This window comes from Homo sapiens, chromosome 2, assembly GCF_000001405.40.
Source record: "Homo sapiens chromosome 2, GRCh38.p14 Primary Assembly".
Taxonomy (NCBI): domain Eukaryota; kingdom Metazoa; phylum Chordata; class Mammalia; order Primates; family Hominidae; genus Homo; species Homo sapiens.
The window spans coordinates 119,455,697-119,467,933 of record NC_000002.12 but is presented as its reverse complement, the minus strand read 5'-3'; the positions used below and the strand labels follow the sequence as shown (position 1 = coordinate 119,467,933).

The window sequence follows — 12,237 nt, the reverse complement described above, 5'->3', positions numbered from 1 at the left end:
TTCTCAGCAGAATCAGTTTTCATATAATTCCCTAATATGTTTTTACATATAGCTGGAATCACATTGCACATGTAAAGTTTGAATTCTGCTTTTTCATGTAATAATATATCAGCATGTCCTGACTCATTTTAAATTCTTGGTAAACAACATTTTATTAGCGGTATACCATGAAAGTAATTTGTATTTGAAATAATTGATGTAACTATTCTATTGTTGGACATTTGGGTTTTTTTTATCACTAATACTTCTGTGATAAACATCTTCATGTATAAATATGCTTTTAAATTTCTGATTATTTCTTAGAATCAATTCCTGAAGGTAGAAGGGAGGTCAAAAGGTCATATTTCAAAGGTTCTTGATACATATTTCTATATTACCTTCCAGAAAGATTGAACCAGTTTTGAGTCCCACTATACCCTCACCTGCAGAGGAAATTATTACTTTTACATATTTGTTAGTTTGGTTGGTAAAAATTATTCTTTTAATTTTTATTCCCTTGATTCTTTTTGATACTTTATTTTTTGGACCTAAATGCAGATCTTTCAATTTTTTTTTTTTTTTGAGACAGGGTCTCCAGCCCAGGCTGGAGTGCAGTGGTGCAATCTCAGCTCACTGCAACCCCCACCTCCCGGGTTCAAGCGAGCCTCCTGCCTCAGCCTTCCAAGTAGCTGGGATTACAGGTGCACGCCACCATGCCTGGCTAATTTTTGTATTTTTGGTAGAGACAGGGTTTCTCCACGTTGTCCAGGCTGGTCTCGAACTCTAACCTCGAGTGATCCACCGACTTTGGCCTCCTAAAGTGCAGGGATTATAGGTGTGAGCCACCATGCCTGGCCAGATCTTTTAATTTTCTGACCAATATTCCACTTAGATCTTTTTGACTCAAAGATGAGCCAATAGTGTGAAGTGGCTGCTGAATAAGTGAATGCCTGCTTGGCTGCATAGGCGCGCAATGTATAGATCAGGGGAGATGGGAGGTGATGGATCCCTTCTACCTCTTCCTGGTCAGAGAATGCATCTGGAGCTTTTCAGCTATGTGGTTCTGGGGGTCTTATTTAAGAAGGACATTAACAAACTGGAGCATATTAATTTAACTAAAGGTTGAAGGATTGTGGAAAGAGGTTAAAGACACAGGGAATATGTATGTATGTATGTATGTATGTATGTATATATTTATTTATTTGAGACAGGGTCTTACTCTGTCATCCAGGCTGGAGTGCAGTGGCTGGATCACAGCTCACTGCAGCCTTGACCTCCCAGGCTGGAGTGATCCTCCTACCTCAGCCTCTGAGTGGCTGTGACCACATGTGTGCACCATTGTGCCTGGCTAATTTTAAAATTTTTTGTAGAGACAGTGTTTCGCAATGTTGCCCAGGCTGGTCTTGAACTCCTGAGCTCGAGCAATCCTTCCTCCTTAGACTCCCAAAGTGCTGGGATTACAGGCATGAGCCAACGCACCCGACCTGACACAGGGAATATTTGACATAGAGAAAATGAAAGAGAAACAGATGGGCAGAATAGCTGTATTAAAAAATGGCAGGCCTCCCTGTATGACCTTTGTAACTTTTCTATATAAAACCTGCCTTATATAAAAGACAAATCCATTTTAAGTGGATCCAGAAGACAGAAAATGGACCAATAGGTGGTGCAAGTAATTGATTTTAGCTTCACATAAACAAAATCTAATATTTTGTGCTATTTTACACCAAATAACTTTCTCAAAGGGCAGTGAGCACTTTGTCTCTAGAGGTATTCAAGCAAAGGTTTGAATTCAGAGAGTTGGTAAGGGGCCCTATACATAAGATGGAAGTTTGAATTGGCATCAATTCAAACTTAGGGATGATCCTTAGGGATCATCAGATGATCCCTAAGGGCTTTTCCAATGCCAGGATGTTACGGTGTTATGTGTCTGTGAATTGGCGTCCTTGAGGTATGGACAGAATAGCAGCGTCGGTGGGTTCAAGCTGCCTGAAGCGGATGCAGTGAGGCACAGAAGGCAGAGCTAGCCAGGAGGGCCGGCGGGGCTGACACGTGCCTCTCTCTGCAGCACTCCTACCTGCTGAAGCTGAAAGTCATGTACACCGTGGGCTACAGCTCCTCCCTGGTCATGCTCCTGGTCGCCCTTGGCATCCTCTGTGCTTTCCGGTGAGAACACACTGCCAGCTCTCCATACCCCAGCCCTCCTCAGGTACAGACTTTGGGTCTCTTCTCAACCACCCAGGACAGAAAGAGGAAGGTCTGAGTGAACTACCTTGTCGTCTCTTGATCTAAAGCTGACCTATGGCAAAACATCGAGGTTCCTGTGACCTCATTCATCCCTTTATTTTTTCAACATTTACTAAGCACTACTGAGAACTTGCGGCCGGTCGCTTTATATGTATTCTAATTTTCACACAATGCTATGAGATAGGTAACAGGAACCCCATTTTACAGTAGTACTAGCGAGATTCTGTTGCAAGAGACAGAAATCCACCTCGAAACAGCATAAGAAAAACAAAGGCGACCTGACCCATGTAAGTGGCAAGTTCATGGGCATCTGCTGTAGGCATGGCTGGATCTAGGTGTTCAGTGGCATCAGCAGCTAGGTCCGTCTCCCTCCATTCCACTGCTCTGGGTTGGCCTCATCCTCTGGGAGGCTTTCTGCAGAAGTGGCAGAGACAACCACCAGCAGTTGCTGGCATTCATCCTGCTAGCTCAGCAACACCAGGGCCAACAAGAGCCTCTTCCCCTCTGGTTCCAGTAAAAGTCCTCAGAGTTCTCATAGGCCGGGCTTAGGTCACATGCCCAACTCTGAGCCAATCACTATGGACAGCGATGGAGCACTCTGATTGATCAAGTCTGTCATGAGGGTGAGAAGGGTGGAGCCCTCCCAATCCAGAGCTGGAATGGGTTTCCCAGAAGAAAGCCTGTTTCCGGTACCAGAAGAAGCAGAACAAGTAACTGACTTCTGTCCCCTGCAGCAGAGGAGGACACTGAGGCTCCGGGAAGTGAAAAGTCTTGCTCAAGGTCATATAGCTGCTAAGTGGCAGAGCCAGGGTCTGCTTTCTCCCCGCAGCCTGTGTTCCTTCTGTGCCCCTAGCCCTCTCCCGTTCTGGTTGCCGTCCTCACCCCTCCCCCAAAACAATTCTGGGAGCTGGAGATGGTGGTAGGTCAGGGCAGAATACAATGTTGCCCCTACAGCCCCAGCTTTTTATTTATTCATTTAGAGACAAAGTCTTGCTCTGCTGCTGAGGCTGGAGTGCAGTGGCAATGGTAGAACTCCTGGGCTCAAGCAATCCTCCCACTTCAGCCTCTTGTACAAGGAATACAGGCAGGCACCACCATGCCCAGCTAATTAAAAACAAAAACAATTTTTTTGTAGATACAGAAGTCTCAATATGTTGAACTCATGGCCTCAAGTGATCTTCCTGCCTTGGCCTCCCTAAGTACTGGGATTACAGGTGTGAGCCACACTGTGGCTGGCCTTTTTTTTTTTTTTTCTCACTGCAGCATGTAGCAAATTAGACTGGCCACCTGGAGACCCAGTTCCTCATTCAGGTTATGCTCACAGAATGTGTTACCCGGAAAGAGCTGAAGTCTAGGGCCTCAGTTTCCCCAGTGCACTGGTGGCAGGTGGGCCTGGCTGAGTCCCAGCCCCTCAGGCTCTGGCCTCTATGTCCCTACATTCTCTCCCTGCAGGAGGCTCCACTGCACTCGCAACTACATCCACATGCACCTGTTCGTGTCCTTCATCCTTCGTGCCCTGTCCAACTTCATCAAGGACGCCGTGCTCTTCTCCTCAGATGATGTCACCTACTGCGATGCCCACAGGGTAATATGTCTGGGTGCCCCAGGATGTCGCCAGGCCCGCCTGCCTTCCCCAGCCTAGCTTTGGAGAGGGGAGTAGCCTAGTTGTCCTTCCCCCAAGCCCCTGCTGAGGCTGCACTTAATACCAAGGATAAAGCAGCCAGTGCTGACACTGGGCCAGGAGGTTCAGGGAGATTCCACAGCCACATGTGCACAATCTGGGTCATGTAGGAGAGAAGCTCATGGGGGTTGCCGTAAACTCCCAGTGTCCAGGAGTGAACTGGTCACTCTAGGAATTAGATATATAGGGAGACTCCTCTTTTCCCTACTTCTGCCAGTTCCCAGCTGAAGAAAGATGACCCAGTCTGGAGAGGGTGGGGGTTGGTCATAAAAAGAAAAGGGTGAGCATGGGCCAGTATGTCTGTATAAATGTATTTGCAATAAAACGTTGTGTTTTCTTAAATCTAACCCCCTTTCTCCTTCCAAATGCCCAGATGACTCAATTCATTGCAATCACCCTGTGTGTCAGTTGGGATTCCTTTTGCTGCGAATAACAGAAAACTATATATTGGGGTCTTAAACAAATGGGGGCTGTTTCCTACGTAAGCAGTCCACAGATGAGGTGGTGCAATGGCTGTGTGATACCATGAGGGACACAGTCTTTTCCCCTGTTTCCGCACTGCCATCCTTAGAGTAGGCCTTTGATGTCATGCTTTATACCACATGGTTGCAATATGACTGCTGCAACCCCAGGCCTCCTGTCTGTGTTCCAGGCAAGAAGGAGAAAGGTAAAACGTTAAACATTTTTTTATCTTTTGGGCAGCTTTGCCTTTCTATTGAGAAAGGGCACCTTCCCCAGAAACTCCTACCTACATCTCATTGGCTAGAGTTGAGTCATGTAACCACACTTAATCGCAAAGGAAGCAGGGTGATAGAGTTTTTTACTATCACAATCTCTATAGTAGAGGCGAGCAAGGGAGAAAAGAGATTGGAAATTGAGATTAGTTCAGCCAACCTGCCTGCCACTTCCTACCACTCACCTGTTTGTATTGTTCAGAGTTGTGTGTGTGTGTGTGTGTGTGTGTATTTTCTGACTCAGACTGAGAGGTTCTTCAGGTAGGATCCATGTCTCTCAAGGAGGTCTCCAGGATGAAACAAGAGTACCTGCTGGGAGTCAGGAGCCTTAAATCCTAGCCACGCTTCATTACTGACCAGCAGTGGACAAGGCCAGCAATGCCCCAGCAGGGAACCTTCTCAGGTTTTACTAAACATTAGACTCACAAGTCAACCATGGGCCTTGCCTGGAGTCAGAGCCTCTGGGAAGGCCATAAGGCAGGAACCACCACTGTCCCCAGGCAGCACCGGGCGCTCCTCCTTCTCGGGCTTGTCTTTGCAGCAGCCCTACGGCTATCCCGGGAGCTGTCCCATCCCCAGGGGACAGCCCAATGCAAAGAAAAGGACAAAGGCCCTACCATGGCAGAGGTACAGGAGCTGTGCTGGTGTAGAAGCCTGGTGCCCCACAATTCTACAGGCATAACTTCCGGGGATCCCTGCAGGGGACATGCCTGTTAAAAGAGTCAGTCACTGCATCAGGGAAGTCCAACTCCATGACATCCCCATCAGATATGTGGAGAGTGCAATGTACCAGCCAGGGCCATTTTTACCATAATCAGTGGTACCTCCTAACAGAGTTGGCACATCCCTTCATTATGTGTTTGCAAGGGAACTGAGCTTAGAAAAGATTTTTTTAACCCTTTGCTCAGAAATCTCTTCCCTTTCTAGGCCTTGGTTTCCTCATCTGAAAAAATGAGGGGATTGGGCAGTATCCGACACAGTTCTGTAGTTGAAGGACTGCCTCCTCATCTAGCCTGGCAGCCAGTGCTAGGATTTGAACCTAGTTCCTGCTCCTATGATGGCTCATTGATTGGCCAGCTTGACTGAACCCACTAGGCCTGTGGACTCCTACTCTCTAGAGAATGCTGCAGGCCTGATGGAGGAAGGCCACAGAAGATGGCCTTGAACCCCAGAGGCCCGCTCTTGTGGCCTGGCTCCTGCCCCTACAACACCCTGTTGCTCCCTTTGGGGCCACTCACCAGAGGGAACCCCACTGCCACCCGGCCTGGGTTCAGCTGCCTCTCTCTCTCCAGGCGGGCTGCAAGCTGGTCATGGTGCTGTTCCAGTACTGCATCATGGCCAACTACTCCTGGCTGCTGGTGGAAGGCCTCTACCTTCACACACTCCTCGCCATCTCCTTCTTCTCTGAAAGAAAGTACCTCCAGGGATTTGTGGCATTCGGATGGGGTATGTTTCTCCCTGGGTCTGATATCTGCATGGTATGTGGGAAGGGGTGCTGAGTCGAGAGTCGGAGGGTTCGGCTTTTAGTTCCAGCTCCACACTTAACTAACTTGTGTAATCTTTTTTTTTTTTTTTTTTTTTGAGTTGGAGTTTTGCTCTTGTTGCCCAGGCTGAAGTGCAATGGCATGATCTTGGCTCACTGCAACCTTCATCTCCCAGGTTCAAGTGATTCTCCTACCTCAGCTTCCCAAGTAGCTGGGATTACAGGCATGTGCCACCACACCCAGCTAATTTTGTATTTTTAGTAGAGACAGGGTTTCGCCCTGTTGGTCAGACTAGTTTTGAACTCCTGACCTCAGGTGATCCGCCCGCCTCGGCCTCCCAAAGTGATGGGATTACAGGCGTGAGCCACCGCATCCAGCTAACTTGTGTAATCTTAGACAAGTTCCTTGATGTTTAACCCTCTGGTCTCAGTTTACTTATCTGTCAAGTGGGAAATCCTAGCTCAAATTTAGCCCCAGTTTCTGGCATCTAGAGCTTTTTACAGTTCGTTCCCACCCAATACTTGTTGCCTCGTCTGCCTTTAGACGGTGCATTCCTACGTCCTCTTTCTTGCTTCCTTTCTGTATTAGAACGCTTTTGACTGCTGGCATCAGAAAATCTGTAAACCTTTAAACATAAACGAAATTAATTGGCTCATATAACTGAAAAGTCCAGTGATCACCAACTTCAGGAGAGGCTGAATCCAGCAGCGTCACACTGTTGCTTTCTGTCTCTACTTTGCCTTTCGTAACATCGGCTTTGTAGTTAAGCTGGTGTTCCCAATGGAATGGCCAACAGCTTCTGGGCTAGAGACTTCCTTGTACCGAACTCCAACGAGAGAAAGAAAGAGACTCCATCCAGCATTCTTAGCAAATATTCTGAGGTGCACTCTGGTTGGACTGCTTGAATCTCATAGACACCCTTGAACTAGTCACAGAGGCCTGAGAGAATGAAATATGTTGATTGGCCTTAGCTACTCAAACCACATGACTTCCTAAAGGAAATTCGGGATTCATTGTCTAGGAAAGAGGGAGAATGAGAGCGAGACAGCCAAGTGCGGGCCCCCATTCCATCTCTGTCCCTTTTCCTTTTCGGTCAATGAAGACGACAAACAACTTCCATTTTAGGGGCACTTGCTATGTGCCAGGCATTGGATTCAGCACTTTACATGTATCATTTAATCATCGTAGCAATCTCCAGAGGCCTCTCAGAGACCTCAGCTCACAGACACAACGTAACATACCAACTCACATGGTAAACAAGGACAGACCTCAGGATTCAAGCCAAGACTTGTCTGTTTCCAAAGCCCTTTAACTTTTACCCTGCCATTAACACCCATCCATCCATCCATCCATCCATCCATCCATCCATCCACCCACCCACCCATGCACACATCCACCCACTCATCCATCCATTCCTCTATCCATTCATCCATTAGTTGCTCATTTGATAAACATGAACGTTACCCTAAGGAGTTCTAGACAGAGAGCCAGGTTCCTGTGAGTGACTCAAAGGCTTACAGAGATAGTCATGTGCACCAAGCATTAGCTTCTTTTGGTTTCTTCCTGGTGCCTTTAAGAAGTGTCCCTGCCAGGAATGCCCTGTGCTGCCTTTTCTGCTTGTCTAAATCCTTATTTACAAGGGCCCTGTCTCCCGATCAGGGGAGCTGCCTGAGCTGGCAGAGCTTGCTGAGCCCTCCTGCTTGCTGAGCCCTCCTGCTTGCTGAGCCCTCCTGCTTCTGAACCTTGGCAGCCCAGTCAGCACCTGACCCCGGGCCATCGGGAGGTTGCAGAGTTATGCCGACGTCTCTAGAGGCCAGCAATCCCAGAGTGCCTGGGGACCAGGGACTTGCCTTATGCAGCTGGCTCTGCCAAAAAAGCACCCAACTCACTGAGCCCAGTTCACTAAGCTTTAAATCCCAGATACGCCAAGATTCAGCTGTATGAACATGGACCGTTTTCCCATCTATAATATCAGGACCATAATTTATTCAACATTCTTTGAGCACTTCCTGTGTTCAGGGATTACAAAGCTGCATTGTGATAGTATCTCTGTCACAGGATTTTAAGATGTTGGAATGAAATAATAAGAACCTTCCTTTCTTCTTCAAATCTTTGTGGAGCATCTACTGTACGCCAGCCCTGTGCTGGGTGCTGAGAATTGAGTGACATATAAAACAGCAATGGTTCTCTTCCTCCTGGCCTGTTTGCCTGCCAGACACCAAAGAGACCCTGAAGGGTCCCTAGAAGGCCTGAAGCCCCTCTATCTGTGAGAAGCCCTTTTCATGCGAAGGTAACGGCCCCTGCTTGAAATTATACTGATTTCATCAAAGATAGGTTGCTTAAATGGGTACACCCCTACTGTAAAACCTTGTAAAAAAAATTTTTTTAAGTAGAAAAAAAAAAATTACCCTAGTCCCACAGATTGAACTTTTTCTGAGATTTCCTTCCAACCTTTTTTTCTACTTGCAGTTTTTCCTCACATAGCTGTGGTCATTCTCTATGAAGAATTTTGAATTTCGCTTCTTCCCATTAACACATAAGCATGTTCTGTATTATGTCAAATCTTTCATAAACATTTTAAACTACCACATAGATAGATAGATGTGATATAGATGTATTTAACCACATACCTATTGTTTGGACATTTAGGTTGTCTCACTATTATAAATAGCACAGTGATGAATACCTTTATGGGCAAAGTGTTTTCTGTATGTAATACAGAATCCCAGGATATGGATTCCTGAGTGGAAAGGAGTGAGCACGTTTAAGGTTTTTAACACTTACCCAAAGCTTTGACTTTTTCAGAGCGGCTGAGGTGTGAGTCTGTATCCAGAAAATAGTGACAGCGCAGGCTTTATAGATGAGCCAGGCTGCCACTCAGCGAGTGAGAGTGAGCGGCTGGCACTGGCGGTTCTGCCTCAGCATGGGTGAAGGTCTGCCAAACCCAGCTTGCTGCACTCCCCGCCCAGAGACTCTGAGGCAGTGGGTCTGGGGTGGCCCGAGACTGCATTTCTGACGTGTTCCCAGGTGTTGCTCATGCTGCTGGTCCAGGGGCCACACTGAGCCACCAACTTAAACCATTACAAATTTTGCAAACTTTCCCACCAACTTGCCACTAAGGATGGAAGATAATGAACAAGTGCCTCTCAAAACCCATGTTCTTTGCCCAAAGCACTAAGAATTGAGGCAAGACTTTTTTTTTTTTTTTGAGAGAGAGTCTTGCCCTGTTGCCCAGGCTGGAGTGCAGTGGCGCAATCTGGGCTCACTGCAAGCTCCGCCTCCCGGGTTCACACCATTCTCCTGCCTCAGCCTCCTGAGTAGCTGGGATTACAGGTGCCCACCACCACACCCAGCTAATTTTTTGTGTTTTTAGTGGAGACGGGGTTTCACTGTGTTAGCCAGGATGGTCTCAATCTCCTGACCTCTTGATCCACCTGACTCGGCCTCCCAAAGTGCTGGGATTACAGGCGTGAGCCACCACGCCCGGCTTTTTTTTTTTTTTCAAGATAGGGTCTCTCTTTGTCACCCAGGCTGGAGTGCAACTGTTCAATCTTGGCTCACTGCAGCCTCAACGTCCTGGGCTCAAGTGATCCTTCTGCCTCAGCCGCCTGAGTGGCTGTGACTACAGGCATGCACCACTGTACCTAGCTAATTTTTATTTACTTATTTTTATTTTTTGTAGAGACAGTGTCTCACTATGTTGCCCAGGCTGGTCTTGAACTCCTGGCCTCAAGTGATCCTCCTGCCTCAGCCTCCCAAAGTGCTGGGATTACAGGCATGAGCCACCACACCCAGCCCAAGGCATTTGTTTAATTGTTATTTTTATCAAAGTCATTCATGTACTTGGTTTAAATAATTAAACAAAAGACTACAAGGTTTATAATAAACAAAAGCTAAATCTCCTGCCTTCACTTCTTATTCCCGAGCTCAGCCTCCAGAGTTAATGCCTTTCACTCTTTTAACTTGTTCCTCCTAAGATTTACTCTCGTGTTTCTAAAATCAATACACTACTATTTCTTGATTTGTCTGTTTGAAGCATTAGTTATTGACTCCACATGATGGAAGATAAGAATATAAAATTATTTTTTCTTTTCTGAGACAGGATCTCACTCTCTTGGCCCAAGCTGGAGTGCAGTGGTTCAATCACAGCCCACTGCAACCTCAAGCTCCTGGGCTCAAGCGATCCTCCTGGCTCAGCCTCCTAACTAGCTAGGACTACAGGTGCATGCCACCACATCTGGCTGATTTTTTACATTTATTGTAGAGACAGGGTCTTGCCATGTCTCCCAGGTTGGTCTTGAACTCCTGGGCCCAAACGATCCTCCTGCATCAACTTCCCAAAGTGCTGGGATTATAGTTGTGAGCCATTGCGCCTGACCAAGAATATAAAATTCTTAATCCTCTACCTCCATTCTTCCTTTACAGTTTCTTATCATTTTTGGCTAAATCAGATTCAGTGTATACATTATTATATCTATGTAAATAGTGTTTACCACTGAGACAAGTGGTGTACAATAATTTTACTTTCAATCTTATTAACTTTTTATTTTCCTGGAATCATTTTTCCTTTGCTTTTTATATATATATATTGCCAGCATCAATTCTCTCAAATTCTTTGGACAGCCTTCCAATGCTATTTATTTTCCAAATCATCAAATGCAATAGGAAATCTATCAGTTCCTATTTGTTTGTTTCCTGCTGTATTAGTTCCTAAGGCTATCTTAACAAATTGCCACAAACTTGGTGGCTTAAAACAACAGAAATTTACTCTCTCACAGTTCTGGAGGCCAGAAGTCTGAAATCAACGCGTTGGCAGGGTTGGTTTCTTTTGGAGGCCCTGACGGAGGATCCCTCCCATATCTCTTTCCTACCTTCTGGTGGTGGCTGGCAATGCTTGGCATTCCTTGGTTTGTAGTTGCATCAGCCCCATTCCTGCTTATGTCTTTACATGGACTTCTTCCTCTGTGTCTTCTCTCTCTGTGTGTCTCTCATGGCCTTCTTATAAGGATGCCAATCATGCTGGAGTAGTGGCCCACCATACTCCAGTATGACTTTATCTTAACCAATTACATCTGCAAAGACCCTATTTCCAAGTAAGGTTACAGTCTGAGGTGCTGGGTTGACATGAATTTTAGGGAGACACTATTCAACCTGGTATACTTGCCAGTGTTTTTTTCTAGAGCTTTCTGCCTTCTTGCTTGACTTGGCCTGGCTGTTCTCCAGATTTGCTCAGCTCCCTTAGCTTTCACCTTCTTCCACAAATCCTGTTTCCTTTCTTTCTCATCTCCCTGTCTTTGGTTCACTCTCTAGTTGTGTTGGAGCACATCCTCCAGTATCTGTCTAACCAAGAGCACCTGAAAGGAACATTTTTTTAATCCCATGTCTGAAGATATCTTCGTTCAACCTTCATACCTAATTCATTATTTTGCTGGACATAAAACAAGCTGAAGTCCAGGCACAGTGGCTCACACCTGTAATCCCAGCAATTTGGGAGGCCAAGGTGGGCAGATCACTTGAGGTCAGGAGTTCGAGACCATCCTGGCCAACGTGTTGAAACCCTGTCTCTACTAAAATACAAAAATTAGTCAGGGGTGGTGGTGGGTGCCTGTAATCTCAGCTATTCAAGAGGCTGAGACAGAAGAATCACTTGAACCCGGGTGGTGGAGGTTGCAGAGAGCTGAGACCACTGCACTCCAGCCTGGGCAACAGAGTGAGACTTCATCTCAAAAAAAAAAAAAAAAAAAAAAGTTGAAAAATCATTTTCCCCAGAATTTTGAGGGTCTTGTGTTTTGGCATCAGTGTTATGGGATGTGCCATGCCATTTTGCTTCCTGAACTTTTTACTCCTTTCTACATAAGCTGCAGGATCTTCTCTCTGTGTTCTGAAATGTCACAGGGATGTGCTGTGATGCAGGCCTTTTTTCATCGTTTTTCCTGGCATACGGTGTCCCTTTCATCTGAAAATTCATGTCTTTCATTTCTTGAAAATGTTCTTACATTATCTATTTAATTGTTTTTTCCTTCTGTTTTTTATCCTCTGTTTTCTGAAACTCCCTTTAGTCTAATGTTGTACATCCTGGAATAACCTCTAATGTTCGAATTTCTTTTTCCTA

General features: G+C 46.1%; 1 protein-coding gene across 13 annotated transcripts in view; it reads left to right on the top strand.

The window, feature by feature from the left end:
- SCTR (secretin receptor) overlaps positions 1-12,237 on the top strand; it is an 84,641-nt gene that overhangs the window by 56,550 nt on the left and 15,854 nt on the right. For 12 of the 13 annotated variants that reach the window (XR_922984.3, XR_001738889.2, XR_007079571.1 and 9 more), the window contains 3 exons: positions 2,048-2,145; positions 3,679-3,811; positions 5,934-6,087. Coding sequence is in view for 9 of the 13 variants with exons in the window: in NM_002980.3 (NP_002971.2) it covers positions 2,048-2,145; positions 3,679-3,811; positions 5,934-6,087 (385 nt within the window). In the remaining 4 variants the exon portion in view is untranslated. The remainder of the gene's footprint in view (positions 1-2,047; positions 2,146-3,678; positions 3,812-5,933; positions 6,088-12,237) is intronic. The other variant, XM_047445404.1, reaches the window with a different exon arrangement.